Source organism: Homo sapiens, chromosome 3 (assembly GCF_000001405.40).
Source record: "Homo sapiens chromosome 3, GRCh38.p14 Primary Assembly".
Lineage (NCBI taxonomy): Eukaryota > Metazoa > Chordata > Mammalia > Primates > Hominidae > Homo > Homo sapiens.
This window is the reverse complement of record NC_000003.12, coordinates 33,313,008-33,334,478: the sequence shown is the minus strand read 5'-3', so window position 1 is coordinate 33,334,478 and position 21,471 is coordinate 33,313,008. Positions and strand designations below refer to the sequence as shown.

Sequence of the window (21,471 nt, the reverse complement as noted above, 5' to 3'; positions counted from 1 at the left end):
GTTAACCTGTCTTCAAGTTCACTAATCCTTTCTTGTGTAGTGAATAATTGCTGAAATGCCTATTCAATGATTTTTAAAATTTGAGATTTTTCAGTTATAGAAATTCTATTTGATTCTTTTAGAACTTCCATGAATCCCTTGAAATATCTCATCTCTTCAATCCTTACATCCATCTTTCCTGTAAATTATTTAACATATTTGTCACAGATGTTTTAAGGCCCTCATCTACTAAATTCCAAAACTGGGTCACCAAAACATCAGACTACATTGACTATTTTCTCTTGTTAATAGGTCACATTTTTCTGCTAATTTGTGTAGCTCATAATTTTAGAACACATTCCAGACAGAATAGTTAAGAATGTAGTATAATTTTATTTTGGCTTGTTATTTCCCAGAGTACAAGCCCTTCCCTCTGTCCGGAAGTTAAGGTTAGTGTCTGCTCATTTGTAATCCTTCTAGAGTTGAGCTGGAGCTGGGTCACAGCTAAAAGTACACTTAGATCAGCTGTGTTTGGCTCAATACCCAAACCCTTGAGCCACTATATTAAAAAAAAAATCTTGTTAGTAAGTGATATAGAAGGGTTTAGCTGCAGTTTCGATACTTTTTGTTTGCTTTTTGGTTCAAATGTGGCAAGTACACTGAATCAATCTCTGCGAGAATGTGAAGAACTAGACGATTTCTCTCTAGAGAAATCTCTATGGGTTGGTGGGGTGGGGAAGGGGAAGAATTTCTAGGCTAAATGATTCCTCTTTGCATTTGGGCCTCTAGGGCATGGGTGATTTAGTGTCTAAGTCAGACCCACTTGTACCATGACCAGGCACCCACCCCTAGGTATGAAGCTGCTGTGGCTCTCTACTCATTTATGAAGGCCTTATTTTTCTGTGAAATTCAGACTTTTCAGACCTCCTCTTGTCTGCTGCTCTTTACTTGCCCTATAACAAGTATGATTTTAAAACTTGGTAACTTTTATGATTATCATGGGAGCAAAAGTCTTTCATGTTCTTCTGAAGTAGAAGCAGAAGTCTTTGTAATAATGTCTATTATCTTAAGTTCTATTTTATGTTAATATTTCTAAAGTCTAAAGTTAATCAATACCTATATCCAACAACCTTAATTCATTTTAATCACCCTCTTCCCATCATCCAACTAAGATTGTTGACTATTTTGGCTCCATCTTGTTTCATCAAATCCTCGACATAGTTATTATCAATATTTTCTCTTTTAAACAATCAATACTTATTTTTACCCAAATGGTTACATTTTGTTTTTTTAAAAAGTGTGCAATTTAATCCATTCAGAATGTTGTGTAACCACATTTCAAAATATTTTCATTGCCCCAAAAGAAAACACTATACCCATTAAGCAGTCACTCCCTATCCCCCACTCCCCTCAGCCCCTGACAATCAGCAATATGCTTTCTGTCTCCATGGATTTATCTACTCTGCCTAGTTCATGTAAATGTAATTAGGCAATATGTGACCTTTTGGGTTTGGCTTCATTTCTTCATATAATGTTTTTGAGGTTAATCCACATTGTAACATGTATCCGTAGTCCTTTCCTTTTTATGGCTGAATAATATCCCACTGTACTTATATACAATCATGCATTGCATAACGATGTTTTGCTCAACGATCAACCACATATATGATGGTGATCCTAGATTATAATACTGCATTTTCCCTGTATCTTTTCTATACACAAATACCACCGTGTTACAATCACTTATAGTATTCAGTACAGTAACATGCTTTTACAGATTTGTAGCATAGGAGCAATAGGCTACCATATAGCCTACATGCACAGTAGGCCATACTATTTAGCTCTGAATAAGTGCACTCTGTAGTGTTCACACAACTGCAAAATCACCTGACACATTTCTCAAAATACAGCTCCACTGTCAAGTGACGCATGACTATACCACAATTAGTTCATACATTTATCCGTTGATGGACATTTGGATTATTCCCACATTCTGGCTATTGTGAAAAATACTGCTATGCATATTTGTGTACAAGTACTGTTGGAGTTTTCAGTTTTTTGGGGTATATACCTAAAAGTGGAATTTCTAGGCCACATAGTAATTATATGTTTAACTTTTCAAGGAACTCCCAAACTGTTTTCTGCAGTGGCTGTACCATTATGGAAAAGGTTTTTATTTCATCTTCATTTTAGAATAATTTAGCAAAGTAAAGAATTCTAGGTTTACATTTCCATTGGCACATGGAAAATATTTTTCTATTCCACTTCTACTTTGGCTGATGAGAGATTTGTTGTCAGTTTAATTGCCGACCCTTTTGGGTAATCTTATTCACCTTGCAGATTAATTTAGGACTTTGTCTTTAGAGTTCTTCTATTTTATTATATTGTATCTAGGTTTTTTTAATTTAGGTATTTATTTTTATTAATCCTTTCCAGAACCTGATATGCTTTTTCAATTTGGTGATTTATATATTTAATCCATTCTAAAAAATTGCAGCCACTATTGTTTCAAATATTATCCTTCCCACATTCTCTCTCTATTCTTTGTCTATAATTTCCTTTAGAAATCATCTAATCCCATCATCTGGGTCTCTTAACCTTTTCTATATCTCTGTATCTTCATCTCTCTATGCTACATTTTGTATAAATTCCTCATCTGTGTTTTTCAGCTTTCTAATTCCCTTTCAACTTGATCTAATAGTTATTTAATCCACTTACTCTCCCTTAACAAGGATCATTTCCATAAGTAACTTATAAGAACTATCATGATCTCATTTTCATCCGATTAGTGAGGTGTGGAAAGCTCAGGAATCTTAGTTTGTGAAATGTCCCTATAAAGTTGTTTTACATTTGATTCTGCCAAGTTCTCCCAAAGGTTTCATCCTTCTAGCATCAGTTTTAATTTAATTTCTTAGCTTGGAATTTCTGAATCATCTATAAATACCACTAGATTTCTCAAGACAAACTTCCCCCGCTTCACCCAGAGCCCTGAGAAGAAACAGGGATTTCTCTGTTTAAGAAGAACAGGGGGAGGGAGCCTTTCCAGGGTCCCTGCATGGTGTAGTGGTCACATATCCAATTCCTCAGGCTCAAAGACCTCATCTCCTTTCTCTGTGAGGGCCACTAGCCATTACAGACAGCCTGGTATCTGCTTTGCCTAATCTTAGGATACCTGTAACTGGAATGTTACAGGTATCCTAAGATGACTTTCTTTAACAACATATTTACTTCTCTGTTTTACTTGATTGTAACCATTTTTTCTATTTATGCTTTCATGCTAGTCCCATTCCAAAGTTACAGAATCCTAAATTCAGGTGTTTTTTTCTTTTATGACAATTAATAGTATGGTACATAGTCTGGTCTATAGGTTAGAATATCAACTACCCTGTACTTCCATTATTATAGCAAATGAAACCGGGTGCATTAGCTAGTTCATTTAAAGTATTTAAAAACCTTTTATTGATACATAACAGATGTACATATTTTCAGGTACATGTAAGATATATATATTATATATATACAACATAGAATATTTTATAATATATACTTTATATGATATAGATATATTTGTGTGTGTGTGTGTGTTTGTGTGTGTGTGTGTTTGTGTGTGTGTGACAGAGTCTCGTTCTGTTGCCCAGGCTGGAGTGTAGTGGCATGATCTTGACTCACTGCAACCTCCGCCTCCCAGGTTCAAATGATTCTCCTGCCTCAGCCTCCCAAGTAGCTGGGATTACAGGCACACGCCACTACACCTGGCTAATCTCTGTATTTTTTAGTAGAGACAGGGTTTTGCCATGCTGGCCAGGCTGGTCTCAAACTCCTGGCGTTAAGTAAGCTGCCTGGCTTGGCCTCTCAGAGTGCTGGGATTACAGGTGTGAGCCACTGCACCCGCCACATGTCGTATTTTAATACATTCATATAACGTGTAAAGATCAAGTCAGGGTACTTGGGATATTCATCTCCTTAAATATTTATATTTTCTTTATGCTAGGAACATTTGAATTATTTTCTTCCAGTTATTTTTAAATACACAATAGATTATTGTTAACTATAGTCACTCCACTGGTCTATCAAAAAACAGGTATTATTTCTTCTAACTGTATATTTGTACCCATTAATCAATCTCTCTTCATCCCCAGAACTCCGTACCCTTCCCAGCCACTGTTAACCATCAGTCTACTCTCTATCTTCATTAGATCAGCATTTTTTTTTTTTTTGGACAATGTCTTGCTCCATCACCCAGTTTGGACTATGATTGGTGCAATCACAGCTCACTGCAGCCTCAACCTCTGCGGCCCAAGAGATCCTTCCACCTCAGCCTCCTCAGTAGCTGGGGCTAAAGGCATACAAGACCACAGCTGGCTAATTTAAAATTTTTTTCTAGAGACAGAGTTTTGCCATGTTGCCCAGCCTGGTCTCAAACTCCTGTGCTCAAGTGGTCCTTCTGCCTTGGCCTCCCAAAGTGCTGGGATTATAGGTGTGAGCCACCACACTGGACCAGATCAACTTAAACAAACAAACAAAAAACAGGGTCTCACTCTGTCACCCAGGCTTGAGTGTGATGTCACTATCAGCTCACTGCAACCTTGAACTCCTGGGCTTGCTTAACTGATCCTCCCACTTCAGCCTCCCAAGTAGCCACCATGCCTGGCTCATTTTTTAAAAAGTTTTGTAGAGATGGAATCTTGCTACGTGGCCCAGGCTGATCTCAAACTCCTGGTCTCAAACGGTCCTCCCACCTTGGCCTCCCAAAGTGCTGGGATTACAAGCGTGAGCCACCATGCCCATCAACTTTTTTAGCTCTCACATATGAGTGAGAACATGCAATATTTGTCTTTCTGTACTTGGCTTATTTCACTTAACAACCTCTGGTTCCATCCATCTTGCTGCAAACGACAGGATTTCAATTTTTTATGGCTAAATAATATTCCATTATGTATATATAACGTATTTTCTTTATCCATTCATCCACTGATGGACACTTAGTTAATTCCATATTTTGGCTATTGTGAATAATGCTGCAATACACATTGGAGTGTAAATATCTCTTTGATATATTAATTTTCTTTCTTTCGGATATATATCCAGTGGTGGAATTACTGGATCACATGGTAGTTCTATTTTAAAATTTTTTTAGGAACCTCCATACTGTTCTCCATAGTGGATGTACTAATTTACATTCTCACCAACAGTGTATGAGTGTTCCTCTTTCTCTACATCTTTGTCAGCATCTTTTACTCCATCATCTTTTTGATAAAAGCACTTTTAACTGGGGTGAGGTGATACCTCATTGAGATTTTAATGTCTATTTCTCTGGTGATTAATGATGTTAAACATTTTTTCATATACCTGTTGGCCATTTATATTTCTTCTTTTGAGAAATGTCTATTCAGATCTCTGGCCTGTTTTTAATTGGACTATCTGGGTCGGGGGAAGGTAGGTGTTTGTTTTGTTTTGTTTGTTTTGCTACTGAATTGTTTTGAGTTCCTTATATATTCTGGCAACTAATCTCTTGTCAGATGGATAGTTTGCAAACATTTAGTCCCATTCTGTGGGTTGTCTCTTCACTTTGGTTATGGTTTCCTTTGCTGTGCAGAATAGTTTTAGCTTGATGTAATCCCAATTGTCTATTTTTGCTTTGGTTGCCTGTGATTTTTGAGGTCTTACACACACACACACACACACACACACACACACATGCACACACACAAATTTGCCCAAACCAACGTCCTGGAGTGTTTCCCCAATGTTTTCTTCTAGAAGTTTCACAATTACAGGTGTTAAATTTAAGTCTTTAATCCATTTTGGGTTTTGCATCTGGTGAGAGACAGGGGTCTAGTTTCATTTTTCTGGATAGGGTTATCCAGTTTCCCCAGCACCATTTATTGAAGAAACTATCCTTTCCCCATTTTATGTTCTTGGTGCCGTTGTCAAAAATGAGTTGGCTGTAAGTACAGGGATCTATATCTAGGTTCTCTATTCTGTTCCACCGCTCTATGTGTTTGTTTCTATACCAGCACCATACAGATTTGGTTACTATAGCTCTGTAGTACATTTTGAAGTCAGGTAGTGTAATGCCTCCAGTTTTGTTTTTTGCTCAGGATTGTTTTGCCTATTTGGAGTCTTTTGTGGGTCCATATAAATGTTAGGATTTTTTTCTATTTCTGTAAAGAATATCATTGATATTTTGATAGAAATTGCATTGAATCTATAAATTGCTTTGGGCAGTGTATTCATTTTGACAATATTAATTCTTCTGATCCATGAGCATGGGATGTCTTTCCATTTTTTGGTGTCCACTTCAATTTCTTTCATCAATGTTTTAGATTTTCCTTGTACAGATCTTTGATTTCTTTGGTTAAATTGATTCCTAGGTAATTTTTATTCTTTGTAGCAATTATGAATGGGATTGCTTTTTTCAGTGTCTTTTTCAGCTTGCTCACCACTGGCATATATAAATGCTACTGACTTTTGTATGCTGCCTTTGTATCCTGCAACTTTAGTGAATTTGTTAATCAGTTCTAACAGTTTTTTTTTTTTTGGTAGATTCTTTAGCTTTTTCTAAATATAAGATCATGTTGTTTGTGAACAAGACTAATTTGACTTCTTCCTTTCCAATTTGGATGCCCTTTCTTTCTTTTGCCTAATTATTGCACTGGCCAGGATTTCTAGTATCATGCTGAATATAAATGGTGAAAGTAGGCATCCTTGTTTTGATCTAGATCTTAGAGAAAAAGCCTTTATGGTTCAATCTTTGTAGATTGTATATGTCCCAAAATTTATCCATTTCTTCTAGGTGTTCTAATTTGTTGGTGTTTAGTTGTTCATAATTGTCTCTAATGAGTCTTTGTATTTCAGTGGTTTTGGTTTCTATATCTTCTTTTTCTATTCTGATTTTATCTGGGTCTTCTTTTTCTTAGTCTTGAGCTAGTTGACTTTTGATTAGACACATGACCTGTAGTGGTGAATAATCTGTAAAACTGGAAGTTTGTGCTTTCCAGAACAGAATAAAAATTATATGCCTTATCTTTTATAGGTAGATAGATAAAACCTATGAGGGATTTTTGGGGGTGGATTATAGGACAAACAGTTTCAAAACTTTTTTTTTTAAGAAGCAATAACGTATAGAGGAAAGAACAAGATATTTGAAGTCAATAGGCTATGGTTCAAGTTTCAGACCTATGCAGACCCTTTAAACTCCAAGTTTCATGTTCTTCCCAGCTGTGGAATCTTGATTATGCCATTCAACTTTTGAGCCTCCAGATTTTCATGTATAAAATCAAGATGATTATAACAGCTTTACCTTACAAAAGACTGTTTTGAGTATCAAGCAATGATTATAAAAGTGCTGCAGTGTATTCAAGAAACTTTTTTTAAGATAATAATCATTAGTAAACATTAGACAGAATATATGGTACACATCATGAATTAACAGAACTATCAGCAGTTTCTCTCAAGCTGGAGGCAGAATCTTAACAGGACTTTAGAAAATTCTGGGGACCTTTAAATTGTTACATGAACATCAGTTGTTCTGCTTAGAATTACTGAGTGTTAAGGGTAGCAGAAAGCTTCAGAATGTGACAACTTTCAGCATTTTTATTTTGTATTTACACACATTCTCTATGTCTTTAGATCAATAGGATAACAAAAAGTGATGCCAGGCCCTAGGTTCTTGAAAGAACTACCTAACTTAGGGTAATACCTCCAAAGATGAAACTACAGCCTCAATTCTTTTGTGAAAACATCTAGAGTCTTTGAAGTTTGGATATGGAAGATAATTTTTTTTCAAAAGACCATTAAGCCTGTGCTCATATACCAAGGTGCACGGCTGAATAAAAAACCATTATTTTACCAGAACATCAAAGATATTGATGTGTTCTTTAAGCAAAAGTTAAATTGGAGGTTTCACTGTATTAGTTTAATAGTATCATTGAAAAGAAAAAGAAAAAACCTTGAATTCTATGCGGTATTTTCTTTTCTTTTTTTTTTTTTTTGAGACGGAGTCTCGCTCTGTGGCCCAGGCTGGAGTGCAGTGGTAGAGCGATCTCGGCTCACTGCAAGCTCCGCCTCCTGGGTTCAAGCTATTCTCCTGCCTCAGCCTCCCCAGTAGCTGGGACTACAGGTGCCTGCCACCACGCCTGGCTAATTTTTTTTTGTATTTTTAGTTGAGACGGGGTTTCACCGTGTTAGCCAGGATGGTCTCAATCTCCTGACCTTGTGATCCACCCACCTCGGCCTCCCAAAGTGCTGGGATTACAGGCGTGAGCCACTGCACCTGGCCTCTATGAGGTATTTTCTTTAAGGGCAGCTTCAAAGAATTCAACTAAGAAGTATAGACACTATTTACATTTGTTATCTCAGAGTGTGAGAGCTAAGGGATGCTGAAGGGAGATTTATATTTTTCCTTATGTACTTTTGTTGTTTGATTTGCTAAAACTATCATGCCTTTGAATTTAAAAGGAATCTAATAAATAAATATTTAAAGAGAGAAAAATGACACCAGAATAGCAGAATTAGCCTGATATGTATGCACAATCTCACTTTGGTTTTGACTCTCTATATTTTCAAGGGGAAGTTAGAGCTAAATTAACTAGCACATTTTTAAAATTTGCAATCATTATATTTTTTGGTAGAGAATAGAAATTTTTATGGCTGGGTTCCATTTATTCTATTACTAATTCATGAATAAAGGTTTCATGATAAATATTGAACATTAGTTACAAAAATAAAACACACTATAAATCAAATTAACTTCTGATTAAATTTTTTTAAAAAAACATTTTAACAAGAAGAGTATATTCAAAGGAAAGACCAATGATTTAATGGAAATCCAAGAGGCTTAAACAATGATTAATCCACTTTATCTATAATGCTAGTACAATCTTAAAGAATACATAATTGAATCCCTAGATGAAGAAAGATTTGGTTCATCAATGACAAAAACCACATGATTATCTCAAAAGATGCAGAAAAGGCCTTCAACAAAATTCAGCACCCCTTCATGCTAAAAACTGTAAGTAAACTAGGTAATGATGGAACGTACCTCAAAATAATAAGAGCTATTTATGACAAACACACAACCAATATCATACTGAATGGGCAAAAGCTGGAAGCATTCGCTTTGAAAACCAGCACAAGACAAGGATGCCCTTTCTCACCACTCCTATTAAACACAGTATTGGAAGTTCTGGCCAGGGCAATCAGGCAAGAGAAAGAAATAAAGGGTATTCAAATAGGAAGAGAGGAAGTCAAATTGTCTCTGTTTGCAGATGACATGATTGTTTATTTAGAAAACCCTATCATCTCAGCCCAAAATCTCCTTAAGCTGACAGGCAACTTCAACACAAAAATCAATGTGCAAAAATCACAAGCATTCCTATATACCAATAACAGACAAACAGAGAGCTAAATCATGAGTGAACTCCCATTCACAACTGCTACGAAGAGAATAAAATACCTAGGAATCCAACTTACAAGGGATGTGAAGGACCTCTTTGTGGAGAACTACAAACTACTGCTCAAGGAAATCAGAGAGGACACAAACAAATGAAAAAACATTCCATGCTCATGGATAGGAAGAATCAATATCGTGAAAATGGCCATACTGCCCACAGTAATTTATAGATTCAATGCTATCCCCATGAAGCCACCACTGACTTTCTTCATAGAATTAGAAAAAACTGCTTTTAATTTCATATGGAACCAAAAAAGAGCCCGTATGGCCAAGACACTCCTAAGCAACAAGAACAAAGCTGGAGGCATCACACTACCCGACTTCAAACTATACTACAAGGCTACAGTAACCAAAACAGCATGGTACTGGTACCAAAACAGATATATAGACCAATGGAAAAGAACAGAGGCCTCAGAAATAATGCCACATATCTACAACCACCTGATCTTTGACAAACCTGAGAAAAACAAGCAATGGGGAAAGGATTCCCTATTTAACAAATGGTGTTGGGAAAACTGGCTAGCCATATGCAGAAAACTGAAACTGGACCCCTTCCTTATACCTTACACTAAAATTAACTCAAGATGGATTAAAGACTTAAAGGTAAGACCTAAAACCATAAATACCCTAGAAGAAGACCTAGGCAATACCATTCAGGACATAGGCATGGGCAAAGACTTCATGACTAAAACACCAAAAGCAATGCCAACAAAAGCCAAAATTGACAAATGGGATCTAATTAAACTAAAAAGCTTCTGCACAGCAAAAGAAGCTATCATCAGAGTGAACAGGCAACCTACAGAATGGGAGAACATTTTTGCAATCTACCCATCTGACAAAGGGCTAATATCCAGAATCTACAAGGAACTTAAACAAATTTACAAGAAAAAAAAAATCCATCAAAAAGTGGGCAAAGGATATGAACACACACTTCTCAAAAGAAGACATTTATGTGGCCAACAAACATATGAAAAAAAGCTCATCATCACTGGTCACTAGAGAAATGCAAATCAAAACCACAATGAGATACTATCTCACGCCAGTTAGAATGGCGATCATTAAAAAGTCAGGAAACAACAGATGCTGGAGAGGATGTGGAGAAATAGGAACGCTCTTACACTGTTGGTAGGAGTGTAAATTAGTTCAACCATTGTGGAAGACAGTGTGGTGATTCCTCAAGGACCTAGAACCAGAAATATCATTTGACCCAGCAATGCCATTACTTGGTATATACCCAAAGGATTATATCATTCTACTATAAAGACACATACACACATATGTTTATTGCAGCACTATTCACAATAGCAAAGACTTGGAACCAACCCAAACGCCCATCAGTGATAGACTGGATAAAGAAAATGTGGTACATATATACCATGGGATACTATGCAGCCATAAAAAGGATGAGTTAATATCCTTTACAGGGACATGGATGAAGCTGGAAACCATTATTCTTAGCAAACTAACACAGGAACAGAAAACCAAACACCGCCTGTTCTCACTCGTAAGTGAGAGCTGAACAATGAGAACACATGGACACAGGGAGGGGAACATCACACAATGGGGCCTGTTGGGCGTCGGGGGGAAGGGGAGGGATATCATTTGGAGAAATACCTAATGTAGATGGCAGGTTGATGGGTGCAGCAAACCACCATGGCATGTGTATACCTATGTAACAAACCTGCAAGTTCTGTACATGTATCCCAGAACTTAAAGTATAATAATAAAAAAAGGAAGATTTGGTTCATTTTAAAACTGTAAGTCAACTGATAGATGAGAAATGTGAAATTTTCCAGTTAGAAAACTGCACCATGAAGCTGGAGAGGAAAAATTTGCAAAGTTAACATTATGAAACTATATTAAGCCTAAGAAAGAAAGACTTTTGCAAAGAAAAACTAGGTAGAATGTATTCTTAAGATCAAATCAAATTACCATAAAGGACAAAATAACTTTAGATTTTATTAAAAGTCATTTGAGGAATTAATAGTGAACTTAGTAAGGTAGCAATTCAAGAGGCTGGAACACAGCAAATGGGAATCATTCTGAATGAGAAACAGAGAAACAAAAGATTAGGGACACCTATTGCTAAAGACAGCAAAGGGAGATACAGCAAGACTGTGAGGCACAAGAACAAAAAACAGTAATCAGAAGACATCAAGGAAAGAATAAAACATAGTAGACTTCATCATACCTTTCAAATTTTTAACAAATATTATATTAAATACATTTTGACACACACACAATATATGACACCTTATAATAAAACAGTATGATCACCCCTCAAACTTAACCAAAATGTTACCAGTAATTGCATCTACTTTGTGTCTCTCCCTTATTCCCTTTCTCTACGTCTCCACTAATATACATGCTCATGACTTCTGTTTTTAATTCTTTATAGTTTTATCACAAGGTACACATTCCTAAATGACACATCATGTAGTTTTGCTTGATTTTGAACTTTATAAAAATGGTACATGCTGTATATGTCTTCCACAACTTTTTTTTTCACTCAGCATTAGAAGACTAAGATTTATCCAAGCAACTGTGTAAACCTCTAGTATATCTCACTGCTTTCCAACATTCCAGTCAATGAACATTTGGTTATTTCTAGGATTTTTGTTATTATGAATACCACTGCTATAAACATTTTTATAAACATCACCTAGTTGGCCAGGCGCCGTAGCTCACGCCTGTAATCCCAGCACTTTTGGAGGCCGAGGTGGGCAGATCACGAGATCAGGAGATCAAGACCACTGTGGCTAACACGGTAAAACCCTGTCTGTACTAAAAATATAAAAGAATTAGCCAGGCATGGTGGCAGGCACCGGTAGTCCCAGCTACTCGGGAGGCTGAGGCAGGAGAATGCTGTGAACCCGGGAGGCAGAGCTTGCAGTGAGCCAAGATGGCGCCACTGCACTCCAGTCTAGGCGACAGAGTGAGGCTCAGTCTCAAAAAAAAAAAAAAAAAAAAAAAAAAAAAAATCACCTAGTCACCACGTGTACATTTGCAGGTTCCTAAGGGTATACTCAAAAGTGGCAATTCAGGTCACAGAATATGCCAATGTTTGATTTTACAGGGCAGTGACAAACTGTTTTCTGAAGTGGTGGTACTGACCACCTTCCCACCAGCAATGTACAGTCATGCACTGGATAATGACATTTCAGTAAATAATGGACTACATATACAATGGTTGTTTCATGAGATTATGATACCATAATTTTACCGTACCTTTTCTACATTTAGATACACAAATACAATTCTGCTACAAGTGCCTACAGTATTCAGTACAGTAACATGTCATACAGGTGTGTAGCCTAGGAGCAACACGCTATACCATACAGCCTAGATATGCAATAGGCTATACCATCTAGCTTTGTGTAAGTCAACTCTACGATGTTCACACAATGACAAAATTGCCTAACAACAAATTTCTCAGAACATATCCTGGCATTTCTGAGGACGTATCTCCATTGTTAAGTGACACATTAACTGTATAAAAGAATCTTCATCCTCTCCAACTGTGGATAATGTCACATTTCTTAATTTTTGCCAATCTCACGAGAGTAGATGGTCACTTGTAATCTTTATTTTGAAATTCTGTGATTACTAGTGATGTGAAGTATCTTTTCATATTTTTTTCCACCATTTATGCTTCCTCTCCTTTAAAATACTAGTTAATGCTTTTTGCACATTTTTCTTTTTCTTTTTTTTCTTTTTTCTTTTTCTTTTTTTTTTTGAGATGGAGTCAGGCTCTGTCACCCAGGCTGGAGTGCAATGGTGCAATCTCAGCTCACTGCAACCTCCATCTCCTGGGTTCAAGTGATTCTGCTGCCTCAGCTTCCCAAGTAGCTGAGATTACAGGTATGTGCCACCATGCCTGGCTAATTTTTGTATTTTTAGTAGAGATGGGATTTTTCCATGTTGGGCAGGCTGGTCTTGAACTCCTGACCTCAAGCAATCCATCTGCCTCGGCCTCCCAAAGTGCTAAGGTTACAGGTGTGAGCCACCACACCCAGCCCCATTTTTTAGTTAGATTGTTTGTCGTTTTCTTATTGATTTGTAAGAGTTCTTTATAAATTCCATAAATTCTGGATACTAAGAATATGTTGGTTTTATGTACTACAAGTATCTTTTAGTTTGTGGCTTTCCTTTCAATTTTCAGGGTGTTTTTTGATGAATAAAGTTTTTAATTTTAATGTAGTAATATATAACAATCTTTTCTTCCATGGTAAACAATTTTTGTGTCATGTTTTAGAAATACTTTCCTGGCTAGGTGTGGTGGCTCACGCCTGTAATCCCAGCATTTTGGGAGGCCGAGGAAGGTGGATCACCAGGTCAGGAGTTCGAGATCAGCCTGACCAACATGGTGAAACCCCGTCTCTACTAAAAATACAAAAATTAGTCAGGCATGGTCGTGCACGCCTGTAGTCCCAGCTACTCAGGACGCTGAGGCAGGAGAATCGCCTGAACCTGGAGGCAGAGGTTGCAGTGAGCTGAGATTGCGCCACTCCACTCCAGCCAGGGCGACATAGCAAGACTCCGTCTAAAAAAAAAAAAAAAGAAATGCTTTCCTACCCCAAGATCATAGCCTCCAATACTTTTTCTAAATGTTTTAAAGTCTTTCCTTTCACATGCAAGTTTTTAATTCAATTATGATTTTTTTTGTATGTGTGAGGTAGGGATCCAATTTCTTTATTTTCCCCATATAAATAATTATCCCAGAACCATATATTGTCCCTCATTTCCCTGTGTTATATCCTGTACCCATGCATTGGTCTGTTTCTGGTTCTCTATTCCATGCCAAATACCTTACTGTTTTACTTGTTATAACTTCATAATAAATTATGATGGCTTATAGAGCAGTCCCTATATCTATTTTTCTTCAAAATATCTTGGCTATCACTTGATCATATACATTCAGAGTCAGTTTTTTAAATGTCCCCCCCAAAATTCCAGATGGCATTTGAATTAGAACTGCATTGAATCCATAGATCTAGGGAGAATGGGTATATCTGTAATACTGGGCCTATCTATACATGAATATATTTCTTGAAACTTATTAATATTTCCTCTAATGTCTGTTAATAACACTGAATCACTATCTCCATATAGGACTTGCACATCTTCTGTGAGATTTTGTCTTTAGATATCTTACATATTTTTTGGATGTCTGAATTTAGGTAAATGAAACAAAAATAAAGTGACATTTTCCTAAATGACATTAATTTCCTTCTTGTGCCCCTAGAAAAGTGTGTGAACCAAAATAAGCACCAAATATCAAATGAATAAAGAAATGCTTTGATATTTCAATTTTTTAAAAAAATAAAAGTTATTCATGGTTAATATGATACCTTCTTTTGGAAATAACTCATACATTAAAATACATAATCAACTGTATAGATGCTAAAGGTATTATTTCTTACATTTAAGAGAACCACTTAAGTTCCAACAAACACATTCTATTTCCCCAGGCAATGATACAGTTTTCATGATTGTGATATTGCTCATCGAAGTAAATATGTAAGAATTCAATAATTCAACATTCTAAGCACAGTGGTGTTCAGGAAGTAGCTGTTAAATGAAGGAATGTCTTCAGGAATAATTTCCATAATTATTTCTTAAAGTTAAAAATTCATAGATACTTCATGTATATTACATCATACATCCACTTGATGAATTACTTTATTTTTTAATTTATTTAATAGGCAATACATTCAAATGGTTCCAATAATAGTTAAAATAATAAAGAGATATATAAAAAATTATTTTCAATAAGTCCTCACTAAAAAAAAAAATCATCCTTAGGTTAGATAAACTTGCCATGGGCACTCCCACAAGGGGGCTCCCATACTTGAAGTTTGTGCTGAACCACTGCAGTACCTAGTTTGTAAAATTTGAACAAGATACAAAAGGGATGATCAAAATTATAATTCTGTCTTGATATATCCCAGGACTGTGACGTCTTAAAACACCTAAAGGAAAATCTAGAAAACTCCCATCTTGCCTGGGATTCGTGCTTTACAAATAATGAAGTTCGTGTTAGAAACTGCTAGCTGCTCACCAAATCCACATTCCCTTCTCCTTCAGGAAACACACCTATACTACATTTCCCAAACCCCCTTGCAGGTACGTACAGCCATGTAACTGAGATCTAGCCATGAAAAGTAAGCTGGATAAATGGAAGCCATGGTTGAAGACAGAAGGGTTTCTTTCAACAAGGTCCTCAATAACTACAGAGAGGAGGATTGCCCTGCTGACCTTTCACACACCGAATTCTATTAGTTGAGCAATAATAGATGTTTAAAAAACATCAGTTATGTTTAAAAAATTAGATGTATATGCCACATTAGCCTACTCTAACTACACTAATTTAGAAACAGATATCTTGATGTGAGGTGCTACTTCGAACAAAAATCTAAAATATGTGACATCTGTCTAGTGTGTCCATCTAGTGGGTAACAGCACAGGAAACATGCATCTGAAGCTGGCAAGATAAAGACATGTTATGTAATATAATTGCTTATGATTATCTGGACAGCAGACAAAGAATGCAGATCTAGAGAAGAGATTACGAAGTGCCAAAAGGTTAGCAAATAATGGTTTCTCCTTCCTATATTTATCAAGGCATTAAAAGAAAGAGTACTCAACAAATAACTAGTTGGTTTGCAAGCAGAAATAAAAGGGAAGAGAAAAGAGAAACTTAGAGCCTCAGATTGTTAGAAAAGTCAACTATTTCTAAATGCCACATAGTAAAAATAAGATTGAAAAGCACTTTGAGCTGCAAATCTCTGTTAAACAGAACAACCAAGACCTGTAGCAAAGATCAGATTAAAGTTGCTCTCCTTCATCCCACACCTATGTTTCAGATGTCTCAAGATAGATACCAGTGAGAAACAGCCATGGGGAACAGGAAACAAAACAAAACAAAACAAAAGACGTCTGGGGCTACAGTCTAAGAATGAATTTAGAGCGTGGTAATTAGAAGACTACTAAGTTCTTAAATTCTGTCAAAAAAACAAAAAAAACCCAGAAACCTGGCCCAAAACATGCTGTGATTATCAACTAATCCTAAGGTTCCCAAAACTACACAGGTAAGAAATGGCTGTGAAATAAGTATGGGCTGAGTATCCCTAATCCAAAAATCTGAAATCTAAAATGCTCCAATGATTTCCTTTGAGTTTCATGTCTGTGCTCAAAAAAGTTTCAGATTTTGGAGCATTTCAGATTTCTGATTTTTGGATTAGGGATTTTCAACATGTACAGTCCCCAGTAAGGGCATATTCCCTAACATCCACTTCAGATGTAGTCATGGAAAATAATGAGCAAGTAAGACCTTTCTGAGGCTGGAGTTAAAAGTCACCAAGACCAATGGTAAGGGAGCCCCCTCCAGTAAACAAAATAGGGAATGGAATGGAATAGAACAGAAACATACCCCTACTGCTAGGATAAGGCGGGCTTCATAATATCTGTTTAGCAGAATCTCATCATTGCTACAAAACAATGATGTGTGTCTTCCATTCTTCCTTTTTACAAGTTTTATTGTTTATTGTTGTTATCCTGTCCCTGCTCCTGAATATGGGGTGAGAGACAGTAGTTGAGGGAGAGTAACAAAACCATTAAGTACCACATCCAGATCTGATGGAGAGGAATGCATATCACCCACAGACCCTGAACTATGAATTGGATGCAGTGAATGAATGGGATTTGGGTTTTCTCTCTTGAGGTTGAGGTGTAAGTGTATTCTCTGTGAAAAGAATAATCACCAACACGGTGCGAGAGGCGGGGAAGGGGAACTGGTACACAGGGGCACTGGGGAACTTTGGGGGGTGATGAAAAATTCATATATTAGGCTGAGCATGGTGGCTCAAGCCTATAATCCCATAGCTTTGGGAAGCTGAACCAGGAAAATTGCTTAAGGCTAGGAGTTCAAGACTGGCCTGGGCAACATAGTGAGACCTGCTGTACAAATTTTAAAAATTAGCCAGGCGTGATAGCATGCACCTGTAGTCATATCTACTTGGGAGTCTGGGGTGGGAGGATCGCTTGAACCCAGGAATTCAAGGTTGAAGTGAGTTGTGATCATGCCACTGTACTTCAGCCTGGACAACAGAGTGAGATCTTGTCTCAAAAAAAAGAAGAAGAAAAAAGAAAAACAGAGAAAATTCTATACACTGACTGTGGTGATAGTTACATGTTTGAAAATGTTTGCCCAACTCATAGAATTGATTACCTTAAAAGGCATATTTTATTGTCTGTAAATTATACTTCAATAAGTAATGCATTTGACTGCTGAAAAAAGCCTAAGTGATAAAGTATCCCCACAAACCTCAAAATACAGGTGGATGAGGGCCAAACCGCCAAGTGCCACAGGACCCACTATTATCAGTGTCTATGCAGGAGGGAGCCAAGGGGCCTTTGACCTCAGGAGAATCCCAAAACAGCTAATATACCCTAGAGAGCACAGGTAGCTAATGTGAGAACAGCAGCTGATGATACTGGGAGGAAATTTTGACTAATCAAATAGCACATGAGTGGAGGGGTCCACACTAATTTCTAAAAGGGGCTGAAGCATTCTGAGCCATAGGAACTCAAAAACAACTGCCAAAGCTACCTTTTAGGATGGGATCCCACACTTAGGAAACTGCTAAGGGTGGAATAAAAACATTACGCAGGAGGCTAGGCGTGGTGGCTCGGCGTGGTGGCTCATGCCTGTAATCTCGGCACTTTGGGAGGCTGAGGTGGGTGGATCACTTGAGGTCCAAGAGTTTGAGACCAGCCTGGCCAACAAGGTGAAACCCCATCTCTACTAAAAACACAAAAATTACCCAGGCATAGTGGGGCACACCTTTATTCCAGCTACTCAGGAGGCTGAGGCAAGAGAATCACTTGAACCCAGGAAGCAGAGGTTGCAGTGAGCTGAGATCACGTCACTACACTCCAGCCTGGGCAATAGAGTAAGACCCTGTCTCAAAAAAAAAAAAAAAGTAAGCAAAACAGAGAACAAAGAAGTAGTAAAGTCCATGTAAAGGTCAAAGGCTGGGGATGAGAAGAAAGTCAGGAAATGAGAGCAACCTGCTGCTTTCTTAAACACTTAAACAACAATGGCGATGACTAAGAGGAAACTTTATGAAATTCCAAAGGCTTTCCTCACTTACATCTCCATTAAGAAAAACTAATTTCACAAATCCCATGCAAAGTTTTAAAAGAAAAAAAAAGAGCAGAATAATATCCCTATGATTAAAACATACCAGAAAGATATGTCCACAAAACAGATTAAAACTGTAACCTACTATTTCAAAATAAGTTAAATTTAAGAAAATGATAAGCGACATGAAAGAACAGTGTAAATCAGAATTAGAAAAATTTAAGATGACATAACAGAACTCAAGAATAGAATTATAAATGAAAGAAAAATTTTCTGAAATAAAAACCACAGAAGAACACCAAAGTGAGTAAACAAAAAAGACAATGCCTTAGGGCAGCAGTCTCCAAAGTGTGTTCCAGTCCTGTAGACCCTCTTAGGGACCCTGTTCACAGTTAATACTAAGATGTTACTTGCTTTTCCAACTTTGGAAAAAGCACATCTTTTTTTTTTTTTAAACTGACATTTGCATTGATAATACAAAAGAAATGGCAGGTAAAACTACCTTAGCACTAATCAAGAAAGTGACACCATATCATATTTAGAGTCTTCACTGCCATGGCAAAAGAAAGAAAGAAAGTAAGAGAGAGAGAAAGAGAAAGAGAGAAACAGAGAAAGAGAGAAAGGAAAAGAAAGATAAGAGAAAAGAAAGAAAGGAAAAAAAAGAAAGAAAAAAAAGGAAAGGAAAGGAGAAAGAAAAAGAAAAGAAAAGAAAGGAAAGAATGAAAGACAGGGAAGGGAGGGAGGACAAAAAAGCTGATTTCACTTTAAGCAGAAACAAAATAGTAATTCTAATGAATCTTGACTTTTGAGCACACATCTTTTTAATTTCTGTGTGACAAATTTAAAAGTCTCAAGAAGAACTTAAAATGTTTGTCTTAAGGAAAAGCAATTGTTTGCAGTGCAAGCTAAACTAGCCACTTTTTTCATGAAACACATTTTCACATGTAAGAACAACTGACATAAATTATGGTAATTCAGACAAGGGTACTTGGCAGACATTTTTTAAAAATTAATGAATTGAGTATGTCACTTCAAGGAAAATTATACCAATAATAAAATTCAAGTTCTAAGAAAAAGTTAGAATTTTGGAAAACTTGTATTGGCTTCCGAGTTGTTAGCTTCTCAATTCTTAAAGACTTTTCTGATGAGATCAATGGTGATATTAATGAATGTGATATTTTAATATTATAAAATGTATTAACAAGGGGAATATTTGCATAACTTAGTGAACCATATTATCCAAATGACTGATACATGTTTCAAAATCAACTTTAAATGGGAAAAAGATCCATTGAAAGTACCAAGAAAAGTAGAGTTCAATGTAACGGAATACAAAAAGTTCATTACCATGGTTTTAGATTCCACATTTTAACTATACCATAGAATATTCTCTAGCCATAATAGAGCCTGCCTGCCATTTGTGACAACATGGATGAACCTGTAGGACACTATGAAATAAGTCAGACATAGAAAAGACAAACACTCTATGATCTCACTTATACGTGGCATGTAAAAAAGTTGAACTCATAGAAGAGGAGAGTAGAACAGTGGTTGCTAGGGGCTGGGAAAGCAGGGGAAATGGGGAGATGTTGGTCAAACGGTACAAACTTTCAGTTATAAGATTAGTTCTGAGGATCTAATGTACAGCATGAGTGGTGACAGATGTGTCATTTTGATTGTGGTAATCATTATAGAATATATACATATATTAAATCATCATGTTGTCATGTATACCTTGAATATATTCAATCTTTATTTATCAATTAAATATTTCACAATAAGTAAAAAGCAAAAAAAAATTAAAGAGGATATCAAGGATATATAAACAATATAAAAAAGCATATAGAGACATAAAGGAATAAAGATTAGATCATCATCAGAGTTTTAAACAGCAAAGCTTTATGCCAGAAGAAAATGGAATAGCATAATTAAGATAATCAAGAAAAGAAAATATGAACCACTAGTTAATATCCAGCAAAATTGACCTTCAAGTATAAAAGGCACAAACTATTATCAATGTATAAAAACTCAGAGAATATTGTTCCCATTAACACCTGAGATATCTTCTGGAGAACAAGCATCACAATCACAAAACAAAATGACAACATGGAAATTGAATATGGACTGATAATGAGTACTGAATAAGTTAAATGAGGCTGGATGCAGTGGTTCATGTCTATAACCCCAGTAGTTCAGGAGGTAAGGCAGGAGGATGGCTTGAGGCCAGGAGTTTGAGACCAGCCTGGGCAACATAATAAGACCCTGCCACTACAAAAAAAATAAAACAATTATCTGAGCATGGTGGCATGTATCTGTAGTCCCAGATGCTTGGAAGGCTGAGTCAGGAGGATTGCTTGAGCCCAGGAGGTTGAGGTTGCAGTAAGCCATGATCACACCACTACATTCCAGCCTGGGTGACAGAGTGAGACCCTATTCTCTAAACAAACAAGCAAATTTCTGGAAGAGTTTATGTAGAATCTGATGTTTGTTTTGTTTTTTAATGTTTGACAGAATTCACCATTGAAACCATCTGGTTTTGCATGTTTTTGGAAGGAAAGGTTATGTAACCACCAATTCAATTTCTTTAATATGTATAGAAATCTTTAGTTTACCAGGACTTGATGGAGTTTAAAATTAAAAAAAAAAAGAATTCTTTAGATTATCTATTTCTTTGCGAGTTTTGGTAGGTTGTGACTTTCAAGGAATTTATTTCATCTAACTTCTTAAATTTATTGGCATAAAGTTGTTTATAATATTGTCTTATCTTTTTTTTTTTTTCTTGGAGACGGAGTCTCACTCTGACACCCAGGCTGAGTGCAGTGGCACAATCTTGGCTCACTGCAACCTCCACCTCCCGGGTTCAAGCAGTTCTCCTGCCTCAGCCTCCCAAGTA

General features: G+C 36.6%; 1 protein-coding gene across 26 annotated transcripts in view, besides 1 other annotated feature; it reads right to left on the bottom strand.

The window, feature by feature from the left end:
* The window catches only part of FBXL2 (F-box and leucine rich repeat protein 2), a 145,674-nt gene that overhangs the window by 88,220 nt on the left and 35,983 nt on the right, over positions 1–21,471 (bottom strand). The window lies entirely within an intron of this gene.
* Positions 17,716–17,916: a silencer, noted in NCBI's record as "peak4597 fragment used in MPRA reporter construct". NCBI's record gives its function as "represses an SCP1 promoter by STARR-seq MPRAs in K562 erythroleukemia cells {active_cell/tissue: K562}" and the evidence as "EXISTENCE:reporter gene assay evidence [ECO:0000049][PMID:32103011]".